Here is a 26,945-nt window from a genome sequence, read left to right as displayed (position 1 = left end):
CAACAGAGAGACTGGGACATCTGTGTATTACAGACCTATTTCAAGCCTGTCTAAGAATGTACTTGGAAACAATCTTGTTATAATTTGGGCTTGGCTATACTGTGGCTGCACCGTGTATACTGTGAGGAGAACATGATCTCAATAGTTCAGGATCTGAAGAGGGTCTGGACCAGGCAGAGTCAGGCACAGCAGAGGGCAGAGAGTTTAATGGATGGCTGTGTGCAGAACTGTGGGGTGAACCCTGCTGTGACTCAACCCTCTCAATCCCAGAAGCAGACATGTATCTTCACCCCACCTGCTGGCAGAAAACTGGGGGATTCTTCTCCAGTGAAACCAAATGGCCACCGTAAATGACCTACTGGCTCTGGTGTTTATAGGCTCCCAACTAACAGCTTGCTCCCTGCCTGGACCCTATAGGGAGGCCTGCTGGCCCACAGGGTGTGCACATATTCATTCATGTACACACAGCCCCACACACCCCTCCCATTCAGTGTCTCAGAGCTTCATTCCTGCAGATAAAGAGACGGCCCAAGTCACTAAACATCTGAGGAAAGCCTCAAACATGAAAGACAGAAATCAAACAAACAGGTGGAAAAAAGGAAACTGGCATAATCAGAGGGAATTCAGGGGGTAGAAGAAAAACTTATAAAGAAAGCTGTCATTAACATCCTCAGAGAGATGAGAAAAAATACTGTATCCAGGAAATAGTATGTGATTTCAAAAAGGAAACAATTCGAGAACAAGAAATAACTTTTGGAAAATAAAAATATGATAGCTGAATTTTCAAAGTAGAAGACAGCTGGAAGATCAAATTGAGGAAAAAATAAAAAATAGATTAAAACGCAAGGATATAGAATATAATATTAACAATAGTAGAGCAAAGACAAATCTGTAGAAAGTAATATTAACAACACTAGGTACTGTTCCATAAACATTTTCTATTCATTTGTAAATGTACATTGACATTTGATCTTTGTAAAAAGGTACCATCAATAATTCCATTTTATAGATGAGGCTATTAAGGCCCATATAAGTTAAGTCAAGGTTCTAAGATAGGACACAGAGTCAGAATACAAAGTAGAGAAATGGGAAGAGAAAGATAAGAAAATTAGTGGATCAACCTAGGACTTGTAATATCCAATTGGTAGAAATTCCAAGAAAAAATAATGGAGGAAATTATAAATAAAAGACTATAACAGAATATTTCTTAACTGCAGGTGAATAAGATGAATTGGCCATCTTAACAATGAATGAAAAAAGACTCACCAAAATGCAGATCATTTTAAAGTTTCAGGAAACAGGATGGAAATCAAGTCCTAAAAGTTTGCAAAGAGGGGAAAAAATCAAACCAGGCCACGTGCACTTTTGATATCACAATAAAAGCACAATAAAAGAACAGCTACTGGTAAAAGTTTCTCTAAGGCAGAACTTAACCTTTACCAGCTCTTCCAAAGTTATCAATCCTAAAAATGGTGAATGGACAGCAATTATCCCATCAAATATATTCACTTTTCACCACGTCATCTAAAAGATGTTCCTGTTTCATAAAAGAGAAACAAGCCTATGGTTTAGTCAGCTTGGTTACCAAGCCCCTGGAGGGTGGGGGGAATGTGTATGTGGTGGGGGATGATAGAGATCCTAGAACAGACCGTTTAAAAATTGTGCTTGAGCCCTTAAAAAAAACACACTGAAGAATTCACTAAAAGCAAGTATTTGGTTGCTTTACTTTTCAGTAGCATCCTAGACTAGTAGATAGACTATCACTCACATCCTTAAACACAAGGCAGAGAACGGTGGGTGGGATGGAAAACATGAATCGCTCGCCTGAGAGAACATGAAATTTCAGAGCATGCTGACATTTGAGAGGTGGGGAAGTTATTCCATTATACTTCAGTTTTGAAAAGTAAATTAGCAAAGGGAGAGAGAGATTGCTCAAAACTTCCATGATTTCTCTGAGAGCTCTTGTATTATCATATGGGTAGCTAGCTCCTGGCCCACAAGGTCTAAGTTATTCTAGATTCTGGATGGTGAATATCACTCCCCTTTGATTAGTTTGAGGGCAACAAAGGTCACAGCCCATCTCTTAGGGTTCAAGTTCAATCGTATTCAATGGGTGTTTGCATGGAAACCTTCTCATGTAATAAATAGTCAAAAATATTTATTGAGCACCTGTGGTAGACAAAATAAACATGGTCTGCTCAAGGAGCTTGCAGTCTAGAGAGAGAAAAATAAACAAATAATCCAATAAAGAAATATATAAACAGATATTTAATCATGACTTGGGGTAAATACTGTACCATGAAAGGAATAAACAGGCTTCAGTGATGGAGCATGTATGGGGGAGGCTGAGGGTGGGGAGGCCGAGATAGTCTCCAAAGAGGAGACATTTCAGAAGAAATCGAAAGGCTGAAAAGCACCAGCCAGAGAGTGTTCCAGAGAGTGGAACAACATAGGTTAAGAGCCAGAAACACGGAAAAGCTTATGTTCTAGGAACAGCAAAGAGGATGTGGATGAAGCACAGTGAAGAGACAGGCAGGGCCAGGTCATGCAGGAACAAAACCGACGCACTGTGAGCTAAGCATCCCTGTGCGGGTTGATTAATGGCTATCTTCTAGGGCCTGTGAGGGGCTGTGGTCCTTGTTTTATTATTCCTTTTTCAATATTTTTACTAAATTTTTACTAAAATGTGTCTAGAAACAAAAAAGGTATTCTATCAAATCTCATGTCACAAAAAAAGTAATGTATTGCATGACATCATCGGGATTTTTAAAGCTTAAAATGGACTAACATCAACAGAACCGAATATATCTTCCAGTGGCTTTCAGGAATCCAATCTCTTTAGCTTCTTCTCTAATCACCAAATGTATTGTTCTAGTCCTTCTGTCAGTCCCCCAAATGCCCCAGGCCTTTCCATGCCATACTCCTGCAGAGGTTGTTCTGTTTGCCCGCTTCTCCTTCTTCACTTGGTTAGCTTTCATCTGTGCTCCAACTTTTTTTTTTTTTTTTTTTTTTTTTTTGAGACGGAGTCTGGCTCTGTCTCAATCTCCTTACCTCATGATCGGCCCGCCTTGGCCTCCCAAAGTGCTGGGATTACAGGTGTGAGCCACCGCGCCCAGCCTGTGCTCCAACCTTTAACAGAGGCGCCAAATCCTCCAGGGTGCTTCTCTGACCCCATCCACACCCTCCTCCACTGCAAGTGAGGGGTAAGAGCCTTTCCTCCGTGTTTGATGAGCATCTTGCATGCATTTTTATCACACCCCTACCACACTGTATGGATAATTTCTGTTTATGCATGTCTTTCCTACTGGACTGAACTTGAATCCAAAAACTGCATCTTAGTCCAGAATCATATTTTCGAGACAACATTTAGTAGAGTGCTGCATATTTAGTAGGTACTCAAAGTTTACTGAACTGTATTATCCACTAATAAGTATAATATGAAAAACATCTGATTTCACAGCTGTCTGTGAAGTGGGGATGAGTAAAACATGGGATTTGGGCTGATCCTAGCGCAAGTCTCAACAGAAGTGCAAAGCATAGACTGTGCATAAAGTGTTATGTCCAATTTTGAAGTCAGGTTTTAAATGACCTGTAACTCTGCAAAAGAGGGTATTGAGAGCAGGGATGGGTTTGGAAACAACGTCATCTAAGGAATTGCTAATAGAACTAAATGAGCCCCTAATGAGGGAAAGCTGTGTCTTCTTCAACTTGTATCACTAGTAAATAGCATCATACGCAAAACAGGTGCTCAACTGAGGTTTCTCAAATGTGTTACATGAAGATGTAGGAGTTTGGTCTGATGTGACTGAGTAGGGTTATAGGAAGCTGTCCTCTCCACCAGCCGTATTCAAGCAGAGACTGAGACCACCATGGAGGCTCTGAGGCTCTGTGGGTGAAGGCTCTACAGCATGCAGGAGGTTAAACAAGTGACTTCTGAGGTCCCATTCGCAAGCTGTAGGACTTAGAGTCTATACTGGAATATACGCAAGAGCAGAGGTGTGTGCCCAACATATCCTAGAATATCCTTCCCGTAGTAGGATATAAAGTAGACCACTGTCAGCTTTATTAATTAGCTGCCCACTAAGTGCTTCCAACTCCATGGGTTGGATACTTGAAAACAGAAGAAAGTCACAGTTGCATTTTTTTAACCTGATTTTTAAAATATTCCTATAAAACCAGTTCTTTAATTACTCCAGTGGTCCCTTTGCTCCCATTCTGTCATCATCAACATCATCATCATCAATTATTTCATGTGAATCCAAAAACTGAGGGTCGATGTCCTAGTTTGCCATGACATGCAGGCTCAACTGAACTAAAGAGGCAGTTATGAACTCAATCACCGTTGAGGCTGGTTAGCCCAGGACTGGGGGGTCCACCTCCTTCAGGGTCCCTTCTCAGAGAGCAGAGCCTTGGGAGGTGCCTGCAGTGTCCTCCCTCCTCCACCTCCCCAAGCACTGTCACAGCAGCCACCTCTCCTACACTAGCTATGTTACTGCAATACAACTGTTGCTTGCACATCTGTCTCCCCACTAGCTGGAGGCTCCTTAGAAGCTGGAACTGTGCCTTATTCACCTTGTATCTCTACATAGGTCACCCAAGGAACAATACAGCCCGGGAATATGAGTGTGCACTCTGGTGTCGGGTAGACCTGAATTTGTGTTTAGACTCTGCTACTACCAAGTTGGGTAGCCCTGAAGGAATTAATCTCTTTGAGCCATTTTTCTAAACTGTGAAAATGAAGACAAAAGTAATAAAGACAAAAGAAACTTGCTGTAGGATTACTGTAAGAATTAAATGAGATTTGTGTGACTTTTATGAATGAAGAGCTCCTTAAATGTTTGTTTAAAACAATGGGCACAAGGAATTTCAGATGAATGTGTGTTTATCATGATTTAGTACCATCCATTTATTATTTTTTAAATATTGATTTAGAGTTACCATAGGCGAGGCACTGTGCTATGCTCAGTAGGTAACAAATATGTTTAAGAAAAAAACCTCTTTGTCCAGGAATTCATAATCTAGTAATGAGATAGATAAGTAACATACATAGGTACCTATAAAGCAAGACAATCACTTAAATGTGGACTAAAGAATATAAGCATTCTAGAAATCAGCAGCAAGAGCAAATACTTCTGCCTGGAGTGGTCAGGGAAGGAGATGGTACATGATCTGGACTCTGAGTAACAGAGATAACTCTGATTGGTAGAAGAAAGAATTGCAAGCATTCTAGGCAGAGGGGACATCGCAACAGAGGCACAAATACAAAACCATGCATGACGTGGAGACTAGGGTCAGAATGCAAAATAGAATTTCTAAACTTTAAACCATTTTTGCCTATTGAAAGTCATCATTTCTTCTATGTTCTCCCGAGAGCCTAAAGGATATGTCAGTACTCTCTGTTCTGTCATCTGTATTCCCCAAACAATCACATTTTATCTATCATCTTAAAGTGTAAAGTTATATTGTCAGTTATGGAACTGCCACAATACTAGTGCTGGTAATAATGGCCTGAACTAAAAGTATCAATGAAGAAATAAACAAAAAAGAACTATAGTTTATAAAGACTAATCAGAGGTAAGGAGTGAAGGAGATAAATAAAGGGTACTTGGAGCCCCATGCCTATGTGAGGGGACAAATGGGGATCCCATTAAATAAATAGGGATGGATGTCAAAAGAAAGGGTTCCCTAGGAGGCAGCGGTAGCAGAAAGGTGATGAGTTTGGTTTCAGACTTGCAAACTCTATCATCACCCCTTCTAGAAAATTAACCCAAGTCAACTACCCTCAAGAGTGTGAGTAGCCTACTCTTGGCACATTAAGGAGAGTTATTTTATTGTGCTGTAGTCGGGATATCCCAGAATTGAGCCACATCCAGAGGAAAGAAATGCTTCTGTCCAAATGCTCTGAGGCCTTAAATCCCTTGGAGCATTAAAAGGGACTGGATATCATTGCATCAGATGGAAATGTCTCTCAGATCAAGCGGTGGTCACAAGGATGCAAAAGTCAGATCAAGAGGCTATACGTATGGATGTATATATAACCCACATATTTTTGCATACTTCCAAATTGCATTGTTTATGCAGCTGTTCACAAACTCAGCATCTATGTTTATTTTTGTCCTCAGAGGAAAAAGAGAGGAGAGTTCTGCCTATTAGGCACAGCAAGATCAAAGAGCCCCCTAAACAGGCTGAGAGAGTGCTCCATTCAAGTCTTCCATCTGAGAAAAGATCAAAACAAGACTGATGCCCTCGGAATGGCTCCTCCACCAGGAAGCTTGCAAGGGCACCTGTCGGAATCCTCCATTCACTGCTCACACCAAATGGACAGGCTTTGTGTCTTCCTGGGAATGAAACATGAAATAACAGCAAGGCCCTCAGAAGAGAAAAGAATTTCCCACCAGGCTTATTAGCCAACATTACTCTCGCAGAACAGGTAACATCACTGTTGTTTTATCAACCAAGTGGGAGGCAGGGAAAAGCCCGGAAAGGTCAACTGACAAACTAAAGGTTATCCAGCAATTTGAAAGTGGACTTAGGAAGTGGGCAGATGGCAGACACTTGCTTTCTCTCTTGGGCAAAAGGGGAAAAACTGATGCCCTTGTGTTTTCTTTCTCCATCTCTGCTATGTGTCACCCTCTTAATTGGTTCTAATCACCCAAAGCAAGGTGATAAGTGTCACATGGAGTGATACTGAGTCCCACCATCATTTTGGTTGGCGCATGAGACAGGCATGCCCTTGTAATCTGTGGATGGTGCACTGTTCACCCCGTCAGCCTGCAGCCTCCCTCGCTGCCCTCTCCAAGCTGACTGGGGTTTTCTTCAGGACGTGGCAACGTCATTCAGAACCGTGACCAAAATGGCTGTGTAGCAATGTGTGTAGGTATGGGTGTAGCAATGAGTGCAGCAATGTGTGTAGGTATGGGTCTCCACAGTGGTCCTTGTTGAAAATTTCAGGACAACATAGATACTGGATTATTTTTCATGAAATCTTTGATAGAATCATTCATTAGAGTGGATTTCCAGTGCAGGACTCCAAACCCTTGTTCTGGTGGTGTCCTTATACCTGCTGACCTTTCTGTGCCTTTCAGAAAAGTACTAGTTAGCCTGGGCAACATAGCAAGACCCTGTCTCTGAGATAAATCTTAAAAATTAGCTGGGCATGGCAGCACACATCTGTAGTCCCATCTATCTACTCAGGAGGCTAAGGCAGGAGGGTCACTTGAGCCCAGGAGTTCAAGACTGCAGTAAGCTATGATCACACCACTGTACTCCAGCCTGGGCAACAGAATGAGATCCTGTCTCTAAAAAATATTTAAAAAATACAATTTGCCATGTGATCCAAACTCCAATTGTAATGAAAGCAACCAAAGACTATTTCAGCAAGAAGCAGGATGAGGGCTAAGTTACTGTTTTCCCATCCAGGCACTGGAAATTCCACATAAAATCTATAGTAGGAAATGCCAGCCAGTTGTATGGCAAACGTAAAATGGACAGTCATAAGGGGAAGCGGGGCACCACCACCTCTAGCTGGGGAAACACTCCCAGAGTGCCGAGTGGGGACTGTGGCCTACGGTATGTTGGAAAATGGTGGTGCAAGAGTAAAGGCTGCCTCTCCTGAAGGCTGAGAAACCAGTAGCAGCCTCCTGGAGGAACTAGGAATAACATGCAGAGACATCTAGATTTCACACAAGCCTTTAAATATGAGCCAGTGCAAGGCCATCTCATCCCCATGATAAAAATTAAGTTTGCAACACTGCCCTAATATATCCACTTCAATTTCTTCCACCACCTATTTTATAAGCAATTAGGAGTGCAGTAGAAGAAACAATTTCAAAGTAAATGACTGACAGTGGCCACCTGACTGGGGAACCCAAAGGGGCTGGAAAAACCCACTTGAGCTGGGAGCTCTGTAAAGCAGCAGAGCCGCAGGTGAGGCCATTGCAACACGAGGACAGCTGAGCCTTCTTTCAAGGACACCATTAGTATTCCACCTGGTCTTACTACATGCCTACTTCTCCAAATATGCATTTGCATATAGAGTTGATTTGCAAATACCATTCTCCTCATCTGAATACCTTCTTCACTGTGTGCTGTTTGGCTCCTCACTTGGCCTGAATCACTTCCTTCCTGGAATGTCTTATGTTATGATAGACTTTAAGCTCCTTGAGGACAAGGACTCCCAGGGTTTTTGTTGTTGTTTGGTTTGGATCTCCCTCTGTGTCTACAATGGCATCTTCCATAGCTTAGGCATTCAAGTAGCAGTTGTTGACTGAGTGATTAATTCACTGATTTCTCCTTTAGAGGATCTGCTGGGAACCTGAGACAAAGAGAGTTAACCAACCAGTTAATCCTCTGACCACTGAAGTCTCCCCAGTATTTACAAAATAGTGGATTGATTGCTTTAATTTCTGAAACATTAAATTTCATTAACAGCATTTTCATGAATAGCTCATTTTTCTCTGTATAAAATACTATAAATGAAAGGGCACCATTATTAGCCCTTTTTTTTACAGATGGGGAAACAGTGACATTTGAATATTAAACGGCCTGCCTAGTCATGCACTGATTTTTACATTCACTCACTCATTTATGCATTCAAACAGCTGTTGGATGCTTATCAGGCCTATAATAGTATGATATCCCTGACAGTTTACATGCACACTTTGTCTTTTAGTCATCATAACAATCCTGTGTAGTGAGTATGCCTTTTTTTTTTGGAATGGGGAAACAAATGCTCAGTGTGTCTAAGCAATGTGCCCAAGCTAACATGCTAAGAAGTAAGGGACTGAGAATTCAAGCCAGGTCTGTGCCCCCAAAGCTGCAGGCTTCTGCTGGTATACAGCGATGCCTCTTAAGGAAACCCTGAGACACATAGTTGGATGGAAAGCCAAGCTTCACACCTCTAAAATGGCAGTCATTTCACCTCATCCCATACACTACGATGATTTATATTTGTTCATACACTTCTATGTAAGGATATTTATGTCTTTTGCATATTTATTTTATCTGAAAAAAAAAAAAACCACTGTCAACCACATGTTCTGGAAGTTGGCCTTCATTTCTTTGAATGCTTTTTTTTTTTTTTGAGACAGAGTCTTGCTCTGTTGCCCAGGCCGTAGTGCAATGGTGCAATCTTGGCTCACTACAACCTCTGCCTTCTGGGTTCAAGCGATTCTCTCACCTCAGCCTCTGAAGTAGCTGGAATTATAGGTGTCTGCCACCACACCTGGCTAATTTTTGTATTTTTCGCAGAGACGGGGTTTCACCATGTTGGCCAGGCTGGTCTCCAACTCCTGACCTCAAGTGATCTGCCCGCCTCAGCCTCCCAAAGTGCTGGAATTACAGGTGTGAGCCACCGTGCCCGGCTTCTTTGAATGCTTGATCCACTTATCACAAGTCTCTACCTACAAGGTGCTATGGACAACTTTGGCCAAATGGATCAACCTTGCAGAAGCCACTGTGTGTAAACTGCAGGCTGGAGTTAGTTGCTCTTTCTGATCTTGTGTCTACATATCCTATGTCAATTTATAGTCACTACAACCTCTTTCTAACCACAAAATTGCATGATTAAATTATTGAAGTCTAAAATTTTTAAAAAATAATTTAAAGAAATAAAGCCACTTTACCTATTTTCCAACCCCTCTGGTTTCCTCCAGGACTCACTATCACCCATTATCCAACTTCCTCATAAACCTCAAACTGTCTATACTTTGCTTTAAGCTAAAAAACAGGTGGTCAAGTCTCTGCCATACTAAAACTATGTCTTAACTTATATCCATCTCTAACAATTTCTCTCTTTCCTACCTTAGCCAAGTTTCTTGCAAGACTATATTATTTCCACCGTCTCATTTCCCATTAACTCCTAAATTTACTGCAATGTTGATTCTATCTCAACCATGCCAATGAAGATGATAATGTCAGGGTCATCAACAACCATTTTTATATCCAGAATATGTTTCTTAGTGAAGAGCAGGATCTTGCACTCCTAACAAGTTCCCAGATATCACTGGTACTGCTGGCCCATGAATCACATTTTAAGGAGCACGGCTCTGACCACTTTTCAGTCTTTATCTCATTGGATCCTTCAGCTGCCTTTAACACAGCTGATCACTTGTTCCTCTGGAAATTCTCTTCTTGACTCTCTTTTCTAATCTTTCTTTATCTCTCTGGGTAGGCTTTTGCTTAGACACCTAATTTTCTCCTGCCCATTATATGCTGGGAGTCCCTCTGCTCCATCCTTGACCCACGCCTGCCACCGCCCTGGGTCATCTCTTGCCTGGATGATGGCAGAAGCCTCCCAACAGGCTCTCCTGCCTTCAATCTTATCCCTGTCAACGTCATCCTCCACAATGATTCTCCCCAAACCCAAATCCAATTATGTTATTCTCTTGCTTAAACCCATTCAGTGATTCCCCAGAGCCTACAGAATAAAATCTCCACGGCACAAGCCTTCTTGAGTATAGAATGTATACTTTACATTCTATTAATATTGGCCTACCCTTAGTTCCCAGACACATACTATCTGTTTCCAGCCACTTTATCTTTGGTCACATTTTCCCCTCTTCTCAGAATGTCCAAAGCCTCACTCCAGAAGTCTCGTTCTCCTGGTTAACTCTCATTTATCCTTTAAGATTCAGCTTAGGTTTTCTCATCCAGAAGATCTTCCCCAGCCTCCCCTACAGACTGGGCTAAGTCCCACTTCCTTCATGGTCCCATGGTGCCGCCATGCTTATTACCTTTTTCACAGCACCGCCCAGGGTATTTAAATTGACTTCTAATATGTTTGTACCCCTTTACTACTCAGGAACTCTTTGAGAGGATAATGCATCATTATAGCTGCTCCCTCAACCTCTCAACCTGGCAAAAAGTAAGCACTCAACGAATGTTTTCAGAGCTGAGTTAAACTTCTACTTCTCCTCTCCCAAATGAAGGTGCTCACTAGATAAGCAGTCATAAGTACCCTTTGGCTCTAAAGGTCTACGGTTCTAATCAACGACCAAGTCTCAGCTGGGCATGGTGATGCACACCTGGAATCCTGAGGTAGGAGGTTGGACTCGAGGCCAGAGGCAGGGCTCAGACACCACAGGTGGAAGTTGGACATCAGACCAAGTTGAGGACTAGCTAAAACAGGTCTGGGGTGGGAGGCAGCTTCCCATAAGACATGACCACTAGTGTGCCAGGTCAGTTTACCATTGCCAGGCAGCACCCAGAAGGTACCACCCCTTTCCATGGCAATGACCCAATGACTTGTAAGTTACTACCCTTTTCCTAGAAATGTCTGCATAAATCACCCTTAATTTACATATAATTAAAAGGGGGTATAAGTGACTGTAGAACTGCCCCTGAGCTGCTATTCTGGGCACACTGCTTATGGGGTAGCCTTGCTCTGCAGGGAGCCGTCCCTCTGCTGCTGCTGTACACTGCCACTTCAATAAAAGCTGCTATCTAACACCACCAGCTCACCCTTGAATTCTTTTCTGGGCAAAGCCAAGAACCTGCCCAGACTAAGCCCCAATTCTGGGGCTCACCTGTCCTGTGTCAATCCTAGCTGCTGGAGAGGCTGAGACAGGAGGATTGCTTGGGCCACAGAGTTCAAGACCAGCCCGGATAACATACTGAGACCTCATCTTGTTTAAAAAGAGAGAGAGAGAGACAGAGAGGTAGAGAGAGAGAGAAGGTCTCTAGATTCAAGAGAAGCAGAAAGCAGCAGCCAACCTAAAGTCAAACTTGCTCTGTTGACATTCCAGACGACTTGTCATCCCACTTTGCCTCTCTGGTCAATATGAAGGTCTTCCCATAAGAACAGCAATCCAATTAAGAAGCTGCCTAATTAACTGCACTCCCAGAGAGCCTACAATACTGAAGTTCTAAATATTATGAATTCAATATTCCACTGACAGGCTAATCCATTGGGCCAATCTGAGCTGACCCAGGGGACCATCATATAGGTAGTCTGTCATGATGTTCCTTGAACATTGAGAAAAGTGTTTATGCTTTTTCCCTTGCTGAAAATATCCCTACGTTGAACTGCAATTCCAGAATGGTGCTCATGGAGGTAAAGAGTACAGCATGACTTTCTCTGAGCAACTGTATTATAAAGGAACAAAACACAGTTATCCCCAGGCTTTTGAGGTCAAGCAAACACAGCCACGTAGATCCCTTCTCTCACTGCCCTGCTTAGCTAGTTGGTTCTCCTAAGGTTCTATTAAGCCAACTACTGGAACTAAATCAAACTTAGCTTTTACTAACAATGCTGAACTGTGTTCTACACAAAGTGAGCTAACACATTTCCTGACCTCCCATGCAGAATTTTGATAAACCTAGCTAACCAAATGATGGATGAACCAGAATCGAAAATACTCAAACACAGGGTTCTAAATTTCCAATGGGAACAGCAACAAGATTTATTTTTTAGTTCACCTGTTGCAACTATTCCAATGCTTTGCCATGAACTGTGAATGTTTAAACTCTCAATTAGAATTACTTCAGCAAATATTTATTGAGCATGTGCTTGGAATAGGCAAATTTTACACATAATCATATCTGGTGTTTTCCTAAGTGTCTTATTTGATATTTAAGAATCTTCAGGCACTTCAGCAATTAGCATGATATCTCTGTCCAAAAAGAGAAACAGAGTTCAAAAGAAGTGAAACAACTCATCCATGCTACTCCAGGGGCGCATTACAAAACTAGAAGTAAACCCAGCCTAATCGAGTGAGCCTCTTTTCCTGGTAAAACACAAAGCCCTACCTAATTTCATCAAGACACATGGATCATACTCTGACCCTCCAAGGCAGCAATGATGAAGAGAAGAAAACAAAACAGCTATAAACGTATGGAGCAACAGTAAGTCCAAAACCACGTAACTACAGAAACACCCAAGTCACCATCACAGTCTGCATCATGCTTCCATTATACAAGTATTAGGTTGAGTTTACACAGGTTCATTTTAAAAATGCAACTTCTAAAGATGCAGTTGAGATCGTGTTATCAGTAATAGCCTACTACATCTTATACAGTGACATCCACAGCACTAGATAGCTAAAGATTGGTGATAAAAACAATTACCCTGAAGGTCATGAGATCCTCAACCATCAGAAAATGTTCAGCTGTATTCAACATAGTGTTCAGAAAAAGAACTCATTTCAGAAATGTTCTGCCTCTGCTAGATCATTCCTCTCGGCCTTCCTTTTCATCTTGTAGGTCTCAACTTAGAGGCTGCCCTCCCTGGGCCCTCACCAACTGCTCGGCCAAGTCTCAGTCTCAGTTAGGTGTCCCTCAGCACACCCACCTTCCCCCATCATGGAATTGGTCGTATGATTCTGGTAACTGCGTATTTACTCATCTGTGCCTCCCACAAGAACGAGGGCAGGGGCTCTGACGCTCACATCACCATCATCTGTGCAGTCTTCACATAGCGCCTGGTGCGTAAATGGTCCACAATATTTTTTTAACGAACTCTAGTTGAAACGATAAGTGTTGTTAGCTTTCCTTTGTTTTAATCAGAAAGTTCAGTGCGGATCACTGCATCATTTAAGGGTTAAATTTAATTCGTGAAAGCTTTTAAGGTGGATACTAAGTATTTGATAAACTTGTTTAGAATCCAATTTTTTATAAAAATAATCATAGCCACCTATACAATCTCCTGTGCACAAAAAGAGGCAAGTGAGCTCATGAATAATTTTATTTCAAATGGGTCAGCACTGTTAATTACTTCAGTTTCTTAGCACTTTTCATCTCTGAATTTTTTTTTTTTTTTTGGAGACAGGGTCTCTGTCCACCCAAGCTGAGTGCAATGGCATGACCACAGCTCACTGCAGTCTGGAACTTCCAGGTTCAAGAGATCCTCCCCATTTAGCCTCCCAAGGAGCTGGGACTACAGGCACATACCACCACGCCCGGCTAACTTTTGATTTTTTGTAGAGATGATGTCTCACTATGTTGCCCAGGGTGGTCTTGAATTCCCAGGCTCAAGCAATCCTCCTGCTTCAGCCTCCCAAAGTGTTGGGATTACAGATGTGAGCCACCGTGCCCAGCCTTGTAAGTTTTTAAAGGTTTTCTAGTTATTCTTATCATCAGCTTTATGGGACACTAAGGTGACAAGAACTACTCAGCCTCTACTTTATGGGAGTTCATTTGTGTGTGAGAATAGATAGGATGTAAAATCCATGAGCTGGTAACTCCACCAGTCTTTCTTCTGGGGCATCTTGGGGCAAAAGAGTTCAGGGGTTCTAGGAGACACAGTCATTGTCTACAGCTGCAAGTTCAAATCCCACGTCCTGTAGCTCTCAGTGTCCTCATCAAATTCCAGCATATTCTATTACTCCAATTCCTTTTTCATGTTTAAACTGTTGTGAAGAGTTGCTATGCACTGTTGAACAGCTGCCACCTCACCCCGTCCCCCCACCCACCACATGGGTTACACTTGAGTCGTGTAGATTAACTTGAAATGAACCATTATCCCTCATGATGAAGTACAGACAATATGAACTTAGAGAGTTTTCTTAAAAAGTAGACTGTTTACTACCTACAAATAAATCCTTTAATTTAAGAATTCCCAAGCTGGAAGAGATCACTGCAGAAAATATAGTCTACTAGCTAGGTGTGACAAACTGCATATTATAAATACTTAGACAAAAAAAAAAAAAGGTGAGTGGGGAGGAGTGGCAATATCAGAAAGCCACAGGTGTGGGGCCAAGGCGATCCCTAAATCCCAGGGCAGGGAGACGTCAAGTAAGAGAAAACATATTACCTACATCAAGTAAGAGAAGAAAAGTGCTGTAAAGAAACACGAGCAGTTTAGTAAGGTTCAAAACCATACTATTTTGACCATCTACTAAGTGCAAAAATGTATGCTGGTGTGAGGGGCCCCAAGATGAAGGAACAGTCTTTGCTGGAAGGAAGCTCAGAGCCCCATGGGAGAGACAGTCGATGTCATGCATTAAATAAGCCGGTGCTACCGGAGCACACAGAGAGAGGGCAGCTGACGGATGGATCTGGTGGTTATTATTACACCCCTAGCTTCTTGCAGATTGTGTTTCCTGGCTTTCTGCTGTAGAAACAGACAGAAACATCTAAGATTCTATATTTTTCAGAGGTGAAATCTTTTGTCCACACGAGATTCAGGAGACTGCGCTCAATCTCTATAGCAAACCCTGAGCACGGGTGTCGCTATACCCATTTCACCATGAGCAGCCTGCCCAGGTCACCCAGTGAGCGGCAGAACTGGAAGCTGAATCCACACCATCAGGCTCCAAGTCCTGCTGCCTTCCTATTACTTTCCTGAAACAGATTTTACACGTGCAGAGATTCTCTTTAAGGAGAAGACAGTCAAAACCCACCCCCAGGCAAATGCAGAGCTGACCAGCACTGAGAGATGAGAGGAGTGGATTTCTTCCATGCTGAACCATGGCTATTTCAGGATGGGTGCAGAGAGAGAGGGCTGAACGTGGCACTGGAGGGGTGTGACCGGGAGGGCCGGAGGAGATTTCAAGAACACGAAAAGCCTCACACACAACCCTAAATGCACGGAACTCACGGCCCACTAACTCAATCTAATCCAAACGACCTCACTAAAATCACTCTTGCAAAGCTGCTGCTTCCTTCAGACAGAAACCCTCAGGAGAGTTTGTGGACAAGCTGTCAGAGAGGCCTGTGCCATTATTTGTTGACACAACAGCAGGATCCTTCAAGGGTAGTGCTGGTCCTCGAACATCACTGGCGACAGCAGAGTTGTATGACAATGGAAATATTGTCAATCCCAGAAACCAGCCTACGGGAACTAAATAGACTCTCTAGGCTCGGCACAGTCAACAGGGTAGAGAAAAGCATTTTAAAAATCAAATCCCAAACTGTCATTATGGATTTGATTAGTGACTTTGTTTTTTAAATTATATAAAATAAATTAAGATGCACAGAAGCAACAAAATATATATTATTATAAAAAGCAACTTGTGGCTTCTAATTTAGAAATGGTAGTACAGATTCATATAGCTAGTTTAGAGTCATTGTATTTCAAAGGCATTGCAAGCCTCCGAGTGATCTTGGTTGAGCAATTTAATTACTCTGGGCTTTGGTTTTCTTTCCAGTCAAAAAAAAAAAAAAATGCTGAGTGGACTATAGCTTCCTGCCTGTCCTAAACCTCGGTGCCTTTGCACAGCTCTGCAGATTATTTCAAAAGGTTTCTAAAGTCTTTTGAAGCTAAAAATATGTTAGAAATAAACATTACTTTTCCAGTCCGCAAATAAATGTGAGTAGGGCAGAGGCCATTTTACCTATATAATGCAATTCTTTTGTTGCTCTGGATGAAAAAGCTTTATTAATGTTTAATTTAGAGAAGTACTTCACATTCTAACTAAAATTATTTAATATTTTAAAATTCATTTTATTAAAATATTTATAAAACATATGCTGTTAAATTGGGAAGACTTATTTTCTAGTGGTTTTACAATAAATGCCTTGATTTGGTTTAGAAATTAAAATAAATCATTGTTCAACTCTGGGGAAAAAAATTTAACCAAAAAAAAGCCACTAAAAATAAACCCACTTCATAGGTAGTTAGCATGCGTCCTAAAATAAAAACTACATCTGTTTGTTCAAGGCGCAGATATTACAATTTTCATTAAACTGTAGAACTATTTTTCTCATAGAAAAACTATTTCACTTAAGTGAGTCCTCCTGATCATTAGTTTTCTAAAAAGGAATTTAACAAGCATGTTCAAAGCAGCAAAAACAACCGCAAAGCCCATCAACAAAACAGATAAACAGTATGGTTTATGTACACACTGGACACTCTATCAATGAAAATGAGTGAACCGTAGGTACACACAACAGCAGAGAGGAATCTGGGAAATGCAATGCTATGAGAAAAAAGCAAGTCACAAAAAGTATAGTGTGATTCCATCTATATAAAGTTCAAAAATGACCAAAGCTCAACAACATATGATTTAGGGATAACACATGGCAAAACTACAGAGAAAAGCTGAGAACTGAAATACTGGTGACCTCTAATGGGGGAGAGACGCAGACAGCATCAGGGAGGGGAACCCAGGCAACCCAGAAGAAATGTTCTTTTTCTTTTGTTTAAATTTATTTCTTAAATGTTTTATAGGGATGAGGTCTCACTATGTTGCCCAGGCTGGTCTCAATCCTGGCCGCAAGCAATCCTCCTGCCTCAGCCTCCCAAAGTGTTGAAATTATAGGCATGAGCCACCCTGTCTAGCTGAAATATTTTTCTTAAACTGGGTGGTGGGTAGACACAAGTGTTCATTGTATTACTATTCTTTTTATCATACATATATTTTATAAACATTTTCCTTACTCAATATTTAATTTTTAAAAATATTAACAGTAAGATAAAATTCATTTAAATCATAGCCATTCTGGAATAGTTCCTAAGGTTGTGGATAAAATATTGAACTGTGTCCCTGTCATTAACTCACTTTGCAAATTTGGACACTAATACATTCCCTAGAACTTCAGCTATGTAAGAACTTTACTGCTCCAGGAAAAAAAAAAAAAGGATATCCTAATCATTCTAGGGATAGTTTTATATGGCCTACAAAGAAAGAACTAGATGAGGAAAATCAAATCAGTAATAATAGAAAATCAGAAAATATTTAAATATTTAATATTTAATATTTTTAGAAAGCATTACTGAGGATCTATCTACTCTGTACCCAGCACCATACTTTTCAAAATAAGAAATTCTTGAGTCTAAGCCACATTAGACAATAGAGTTCCCAAAGGGTGATCAGGACCGGATTTGTCTTCTGTTCCTCCACTCTTTTTGTTGCTGTTGTTTTTAGATATAGGATTTTCCTCTGTTGCCTAGGCTGGAATGCAGTGATGCAATCATAGCTCACTGCAGCCTTGAACTCCTGGGCTCAAGCAATCCTCTGGTCTCAGCTAATTTTTTTTAATTTTTATTTTCAGTAGAGACAAGATCTCTCCATGTTGCCCAGGCTGGTCTCAAATTCCTGGGCTCAAATGATCCTCCTGTCTTGGCCTCTCACAGTCCTAGGATTACAGGCATGAACAACCATTTCTGGCCTTCTATCTGTCTCTTTACCTGTCAAATGAGAATAATAATAGTATCTCCTCATATGACTGTGGTATAATTAAACAAGTTAGCCGGGCGCAGTGGCTCACACCTCTAATCTCAGCACTTTGGGAGGCTGAGGCAAGTGGATCGCTTGAGGCCAAGAGTTCAAGACCAGCCTGGGCAACATGACAAGACCCCGTCTCTACTAAAATACAAAAAATTAGCTGGGCACGGTGGCACGCATCTGTATCCCAGCTACTCAGGAGGCTGAGGCCCAAGAATTGCTTGCACCCAGGAAAGAGAGGCTGCAGTGGGCCGAGATCATACCACTGCCCTCCAGACTGGGCAACAGAGCGAGACTCTGTCTCAAAAAACAAGAATCAAACAAAAAAAAAGTTAATTCATATAAGAGCATTCAGAGCAGTTCCTGGCACATAGTATTATACCAGTGTTTCCTGTTATGTGTGTGTATTGTTATTATTATTGTTTTTTCAACATCATCTGTGATTTGGAGTAAGAAAATCAGGTGTCACCTGTACCACACATACTTTTCTTGGAAGTGGAATTTTACCTACCAACATCAGTCATCTCCTCTGACATTAATCGACCTTGCACTTGTGCACACTCCTCTCCATTTTATGGTAAGGGCCAGATCTCAAGGGTTCTTCAGCCTACTGGCTGGTAAGCCCGACAGTGCACAGGAAGTTGCAGCAAATCAGGTTAATTTCGCATCTCTCACCCCACAGTGGGTTTCATTAGCTCAAAGGCTACCTTGGAGACGCAAAGCCTCACCCTGACCCAAGGGCCTCAATGTAAATAAGAGAGCAACTAGAGAGAGTCGTGCTTCATCCTTCCTGAGAGGTCTGGCAGTTCCTGACCCTGAAGAGTTGAAAATTCCAAAGGCACATAGTCTCCTGCACTTCCCCAGCAGAGTGGACCATCCCAATTAAGTGTTCCATCCAGCTATGCAAGCCCTTCAGGACAGAGCTGTGGCGATGTGATTGTGTAACTTTTATTACCATTACTATTACTTCTAGGGATGGGCAGCAGGTTAAAGTCAATTAAGAAGCATATAAACTGTCATCCAAATCTCAAACTGAAAAATGCCAGTGATGCTGACACGCCCAGCCTCTCCTCAGGGGCCATCCTCAGATTCCCCCTGGGAAAACCGGTCGGGGCTGCAGCAGCAAAGAGAAAGTCCCAAAAATACTTTGTTGAATTCTACCACTTTACTATAAATATTTTTGACCCCCCTCTCCGTGCAGAAAATCCTGTGTTACTTCTAGAAAGGTCTGGAAATTTATCCTTAAAGCCCAGAGCCTGATCTCACTTTAAGAGAGTCCTTGCAAAATTCCCCACTAAACTCCCACTGTCGGGTCTTTCTCGTGTCACAGGATGACAACAGAACCCTGGATCAAAGGAGGTATTTTTGTGCCCTGGAATGACATCATAGTTTATGGATCAGTAAAAACCTTATTTCGTAACTGAGGAGCTCTGCTTCCAACAGTCTAGTGGAAGGGTTGGCGAACCTTCCTTGTAAAGGGCCAGCAAGTCAATATTTTAGGCTTTATGGGCCATGCTGTGTCTGTCACAACCTCTCCCTCCACTGTGACAGCATGAAAGCTGCCACAGACAACACGCAGACTGGTGCATGTGCTGTGTTCCAATAACATTTTTATGTACGGACACTGATGTCTGAATTTCACATAATTTTCACAGGTCACGAAATGTTCCGCTTTTGATTTCTTTTCCTCGGTTTACGAATGTGAAAACCATCCTTAGCTTGTGGTAGTAGAACAATTCGTAGTGGGCCAGATTTAGCCAATCCCTGGTCTAGCTTTCTGTGGAAACACCATAATACATGTAATCCCCTGGAGACTGCAAGGAGTCCCTCCCGAAAAGCAGCAAATTAATCCTCCTTCATCAATCACTGCTCCCCAACATACTGGGGAGGTAAGATGTGTTTTACCAACAGCAGAAACTGACGTATTGAAACATCACAGAATGAGGCAGTGGAGGCTCTGGAGGAAAGGTTTTTGACAGGAGTTCTACTTTAAATCCTGCTTCCACACCGCCTGTGCGTCAAGTACACACAATTTTCTGTGCGCCACTGCATGAATACCATTATTGTATTATAATACAGTCGTCATGATCTTTTGTGACCCAGGATGATGAAATTTTTGAATGCACCATTAATACATATGATGATTGGGCTACCTGTGTGGCTGGCCAGGCCATTGCCCAATCAGAAGTCATTGACTGCTGTCAGTTATGGGGAACGCCTCTGAAAATAAGCACGTACTCACAGGGCCATTTCCAAATGAAATCTTCCATTCTCATTTTTCAATTTGTTTTTCTCTTGGAGACAACAAATGCTGAGTAAGCATTTGGATCCCTGTTTCAGTGGACTAACTTGTTTCCTTACCCCTCACTCTCCCTTCCCCATTGGCCAACATTCCTTTTCCACTCCCACCCCATTCCTGCCTACTCCCCTCCTACTGGAACACAAACATATGCATTTTGTTTTTCTGAATCCACAGGCTGAATAGAATATTCTCAACAAGATGCCAACGATCCATGTCTCTGACTGAGTCCTATTTTCAACAATTCAGAAAACTCAGACTCTATGGTTCTGAGGACCCTAGGGGACAAAGTCAGCCTTCTCACTCTTCATAAATACATGCCACTCCGTCTCAGTGGTGATGACACATCCACCTGTCTTATCCCACTTGGCCCCCACCCACCACAGAACCTGGATGAGGCCACTAGAGATTGCCTGTCGGAATCATCATTATAAATGGCTGGACAGAGGCATCACCCTGTTCACTGGCGATGCCTTTGCACCATAGAAGGTGAGAACTCCTCATCAAGAGAATTCTTCTCACACCGTGGAGGGGATTCATCAATTAAAGTATTTCACCAGCAGATACTAAACTTCATAAGACACTAGTGACCAGCTGAGAAACACAATCCCAAAAAAATCCACATGGAACTCTTCCTCAGGCAGTTCCTCCACGTGACAGCCATCCATCATTACCACTTAGAATACATTCAGAAGCTAGCCCCACCAGTAATTTAAAAGCTGTCACAAAGGCACTTCATTTGGAACTCACTCTGAATCACAGACCCAATAATATACTAGGAAAGTGATTAGTTGTCATACTGCTACCATTTTCCATGCTACCTAATTGGAAAAGAACATCTCAGTGGAGTTATTTTCCTCTCTCAGTGCTCGAAAATAAGAAAAAAAGAATAGTTTCATTTTTTTTCAAAAAAAAAAAAGACTATCCCTAACTCTACTCTTGAAAGAAGAAAAGAAATCAAACGTGTTGAGAAATTCTGCCACTTTTCTAGGACAGTTCTTGAGACTCTTACAGCTGTGTGATGAAACATTTCCTAGGGGCAATGAATCCTAGGAAACTCTTGTTAAAAAAAAAAATAAAGTAACAAAGCACATCTTGTGATGTTGTAGCGCTGACCTGTTTGTGCCACTCATTTATGAATTTATAAAATTCTGAATTCATATTACAAAACAGAAAAGTGGGAGGAATGAAACATACCTAATTCATGAAGACTTGAACTCAAACAATTCACAGACCACCCAGGTTGCAAGGGGTCTTAAAAGCAGCTAGTGTCGCTGTAACCCAGAAAAATGCCCTGGAGTAAAGTGGGGTTTTTCAAGATTTAAATTTTTCTTAAGTTTAATTCACCAATAATGGTAATCTTTCCCTAAAGGGTTGTACTTCAGTGATGAGGTTACTATTGTAAGATAATTATTTTTAATAGAAGCTATCAAATACTAAGCACTTTGTTACCACAAACTATACTAGGAGTTTTATATACATTATCTCATTTAACCTCCACAACTAACCCTATCATGTGATTATTATTATCTTCATTTTACAGATGAGGAAATTACGTGTCATAGAAGTTAAGTTTACCTAAGGTCACACAGCCAATAAAATACTGAGAGCTTTATATACATTATCTCATTTAACCTCCACAACTAACCCTATTATGTGATTATTATTATCTTCATTTCACAGATGAGGAAACTGAGTGTCATAGAAGTTAAGTAATTTACCTAAGGTCACACAGGCAATAAAATACAATAAAACCCAGGACCGTCTGACTCAAAACCCCAACAGTAGGATTACTCCACTAAATGGTTTCATACATTTGAGTCGTGGGGTGCAAATTACATCAATCTCATATTTAAGCTGTTATCTACATTATTGTGGTTCCCAGAGTTGACTTTTCATTGCAATCATACAGAAAGGTTTTTAAAAATAGAGATTCCCAGAATCCACTCCAGCTCAGCCAGATATAATGTGAAAAAATAATCTCGTTCTTTTAAGTGATGCCAATCAACGACCAGACATTTTTTCTCACTGAACCTAATGAGTATTCCATGAAAAATATCCGAAGTGTTAACTCTCAAGGCATTTGGTTGGCTTTAGTTGTTCAGCACTTTCTCTCTAGTTGATAATGAATGAATGAGTAGGAATTCCACCCTTGATTCCCCTAGGAAAGCTTTATTCAAAGAATGACAGCTGATGGAAGCACCGTGACCCAGAGATTGGTAGCGAATGCTACACAGACACGGACACAGACCCCAGGGCAGTGAGGAGTGGAGAGTCACACAGCCAGATGGTAACAGGTCTGCAATCTCCCAATCACCTCCCTTCCCCGCAAAACCCCACCGCCTCTTGGAATCCCTCTGGAATCATTCAGAAACCCCAATCACCACAGGAAATGAAAGACGAACTGGCACACATTAAATTAGTATAAATATGTGTAAAAGAGTTGGCAGGTTCAAAATAAGTTCCAACAGAGCTGATGCATTAATTGGACCTTACCATATATATTTTTTATATCTACACACACACACACACACACACACAGTATGTTGCCTATATGTAATGAGACAGACATGTTCTAATTTACACATTTTCATATAATCATATCCAGTACTGGAGTCTATATTGAAAGAGACAGATGCAAGTTCCAATCTCAACCCTGCCACTTATTCGTGTGACCCCGTTCCCATTTCTTAACCTCCTTGAGATTCACTTTCCCTGCCTGAAAAGCAGTGGTAATAGTAACTATTTCACTAGAACACATTTATGTATACAAGCACCTAGCACAGTGCCGGGCACGTGGTTGCCATTTATTATTGTTGTTACTCCTATTTAGCACCTCCCTAAGAAATGAAATATGCTGTTTAGCCCCTGATTGTTCTAACCAGCAAAGGCCCAATCTCCCAGTAGAAAAAAAAGCAAGCACTCCAATAGGATGTTCCTTCATGCCTTGCTCTGAACTGATGATTGAAAACATGCTTCCAATAGCCACAGCTGTCTAATGTGCTGAGGTTCATTAATGAGTTACCATGATATCCAGGGATAACAATATTAACAACACCTTTCCGAAATATCTCCTCTGGGGTAACTTACCAATTATTTCAGTAAAATGTTTAGTCATGGAAAAGAAAGGTCTTAGATTGGAACCATATTAAAACACCTTCCTCTCTCTCTCTTTCAGTGAAACACATTTAAAATTTACCCTAAATATCCTAAATCCTTGCTTGTCTTTTCCTAAGTAGTTCCAGACAGAGGATTCAAAAGTGGATCTGTCAGATTTGTTGCAAGTGAACAGACTCCCCTGGGTTGCAGGAGGAAGTCCTCCGCATTTTTTCTGACTTATGTAGTCCCACGGCAGCTCTTTGGAATATCTTCCTTGATAATGTTTCCTATATTGACAGCCCCAAGCCTGGCTAGTTCATTTTACGAGGAATAAGGTTTCACTGGAGAGTTCCAGGAGGTCGAAAGAGTAAGGCACAAGCAAAAGTGTCAGTCTGTTTAACTGATCCCAGCCAGAGTGTGCGACTATCTGCGTATAATAAAATGCAGAAGGACTTTGTCCCGTAACCCGCGAAAGTCTGAACCCTGGTAATGAAACTGATAGAGCCACCATCCTTTCCATCACGTCCAGTTTGGGCACAGTCCTCGTGCTTAGCACCAAAGAAAATCTGGCCACCCTGGCCACAGATCCTGTGGGTGGGGTGAGGCCCCCCTCCAGAGCTTTAATTTGTTTATTTGTCTATGTATTTGTTTAGGCAGACAGGAGTGGTGGCAGGAAGGGAAATGCTTTGGCAAACTCTTGATTGTACAAACTGTTTCCTCCACACTAATACTTTCCCTTTGGAAGGACACAGAAAGATAGAGCTCCCAAAAGGCCACGTTTTTGCCAAAATGTCTAATAGCAACATTTCTAAATTGGGACTACTTTGCTGAGAAAAGAAAAACGTCTTTGGTGTTGGGCTGAATAAAGTTTCTGCCACTATGGTTGTCATTAGGGAGTAAAATGTGGTCCAGGTTTACTCCTCCAAACAATAGGATGCCCACTGATTGCTGGTAACAGACATCTCTGTGAGATCACCATGGTAACATTCATCCCTTCTAACAGTCCCCAATACCATATATTGAACAAACTTTTAAAATCAGATCATGATTATGGACTATAAAGAGAACTTGGACAGATAATAACATGCCAATATCAACATTATTCTTTCCTGCTAAGAAGCTACACGTTAACATTTTTAGATTATTTGGTTCAATCACAGCTGTCCTTAGATAATTTCTGTAAATGAAACTGTCAATAGCAAAGGACCACTGGTGAAATGCTAAGGGTAGTATATTGTCATATCAACAAATACTCATAAAAGCAAGGTGCAATCAGAGGCAGTTTATAATGATTTTAAACATCAGTAAGAAGAAGCAGAAAAACCCTGACAACTCTCTCTTGCACGACTGGGGGACCAAATACTTCACTAGTCATCCTTCAAGAGCATGTACCCAACTCAGAGACTATTTATTCTATGCCAAAGCATTACTGGAGAAACAGCAGTTATCTTGGTGATAAATAATACCCTCAATCAGCCAGGCAAGGTTAGTAAGATCCAAAAGCCACTTTCAGAAGCCACAGTGGTTGTTTCAGTGTGAGTTGTACATATGTTTAGTTATAAAGTGTTCTCAGTTTCCCACTGTGAGACTATGTACAACAAGCTCTGTATTTAAATGCTACTGTTTCAGGATAGAAAAGCTATTAAGAAAAAGATCAAAAGTTCCACAAGATTAAGAGTTCTGTGGACATGTGCGGTCTCTTGTGCTATCACTTTTCAATCTTCATGTTATGAAAAATTTCAGATATATGGAAAAGTACAAAGAATAATGTCATTAACTTCTATGTAGCCATGACCCAAGTTTCTTCACATCGTAATACTTAGCCATATTTACATTAGGCCTTTTTGTCTTAATAAATAAATAAATTACATAGGAAAATAAAAACCTGTGGTTAGCACTCCCCACTCCCATGCCCCTGCCTCTCTAAACAATATGTAGTATTAGTTTGTGCCTTTTCAACCATTTAAATAAATGGTATCAGACAGTAAGTATCAATCTACAACTTTTTTTCTCAACATTGTATTCCTAAAATGTATCCATATTAATACAAGTGTATCTGGTTCATTTATTTTAATTGCTGCATAGAATTTCATTGCATGGATATAGCATATATTATTTTAACCTTTTTCCTTCTGAAAGGACAGCTAAATTGTTTTTTATTTTTTACTAACATAACACACAGGTGAACATTTTTACAGGTATCCTTTTACACTCATACACTGGTTTCTCCAGGCACATACCCAGGAGTGGAACTGCTGAGCCCTAGGGTATGTGCGTCTGCAGCTTTGCCATTTGTTGCCAAATTGCTCTCCAAAATAATCGTACCATACAGCACTCCCGCCGGAGTGTGGAGAATGCCTGTTGCTCCATCTCCTTGTCATCAACCGATTTTGTCCTTTCATTTTGGGCTACCCAGTGAGTGTGAAATGGTATCTCATATTAATTCGGGTGTTCCCACTTATCAGCGAGGTTGAGCATCCTTTCATGTTTACTGGCCATTGAGATCTTCCTTTCTATGAATTGCCTGATTGTAGCCTTTGCCCATTTTTCTTATTGCTTCATAAGAGCTCTCTTTATATCTTGTGACTTTAGGAAAGTCATTTAGCTTCTAGGATTCCACCATTACCAAAGGAGATGATAAACCTATTTCATAGGGATATTTTGAAGCTGATCAAAAAGCACTGAGTCTAGTGCCTATTACATGTTAGGTAATTTCTAAACAGTCGCTATTACTATTATTGCCCTGTCTATGAATATGGTTTAGGGTATAAAGTATTTCTAGCATTTCTCTCAAGTTTGTGGCTCCCCTTGGATAAGTACTGTAAGACTCAGAAAAAGGAGTCTCAGCAACTCTTCTTGCCCATGATATTTCCTCAAGATAAGAAGATGCAATATCAGCATTCCATTGTCTATAAGTTACCATTAGGAAATGTGCAAAGTCAGCTCCCTTAGATATTGCTTAAACTAAGCATGGAAGTTACACTTCCTTCAATCCACACGAGACTGTGACCTCTTTTGGGAAAAGCCCATCATCCTGAGTCTCAGTGATGGTTAATTCACCGAGTGAAAAGGACTCTGGGAAAGAAAGGTGGGCAGTGGAGGTTGGCAGGTTATCAATATCAGGGACTTGCCAGTACCAGGTACTTCCCAGGACAGAAATATAGCCACTATTTCATGAAATTTCATCAGGCCCAAGACCACTCCATTTCTCCACATGGTAAGTAATCCTTGAATAAGAAAAACCAAAGGATAAGCATCATATCACTTACCAAATGCATATGTTGGTTTTTTAAAAAAAAAAAAAGATCAGAAATGATCTGACATCACCTAGGCAGCAGCCAATCCTATTCTATGCACATTGTGAAAATACTCATCTGGCCGGGTGCGGTGGCTTCCAGCACTTTGGGAGGCCGAGGCAGGTGGATCACAAGGTTGGGAATTTG

The 26,945-nt window shown here is 41.2% G+C and overlaps 1 protein-coding gene across 2 annotated transcripts in view, besides 1 other annotated feature; it reads right to left on the bottom strand.

Annotated features, from left to right (window-relative positions):
• Positions 1-26,945, bottom strand: part of BARX2 (BARX homeobox 2) — a 77,047-nt gene that overhangs the window by 41,242 nt on the left and 8,860 nt on the right. The window lies entirely within an intron of this gene.
• Positions 10,911-11,107: a silencer, noted in NCBI's record as "fragment chr11:129269826-129270022 (GRCh37/hg19 assembly coordinates)". NCBI's record gives its function as "represses an EF-1alpha promoter that drives an FKBP-Casp9 reporter gene in an ReSE screen in phorbol 12-myristate 13-acetate-treated (for megakaryocytic differentiation) K562 erythroleukemia cells {active_cell/tissue: K562(+PMA)}" and the evidence as "EXISTENCE:reporter gene assay evidence [ECO:0000049][PMID:32094911]".

This window comes from Homo sapiens, chromosome 11, assembly GCF_000001405.40.
Source record: "Homo sapiens chromosome 11, GRCh38.p14 Primary Assembly".
Taxonomy (NCBI): Eukaryota; Metazoa; Chordata; class Mammalia; order Primates; family Hominidae; genus Homo; species Homo sapiens.
This window is presented reverse-complemented; position numbering and strand designations above follow the sequence as displayed.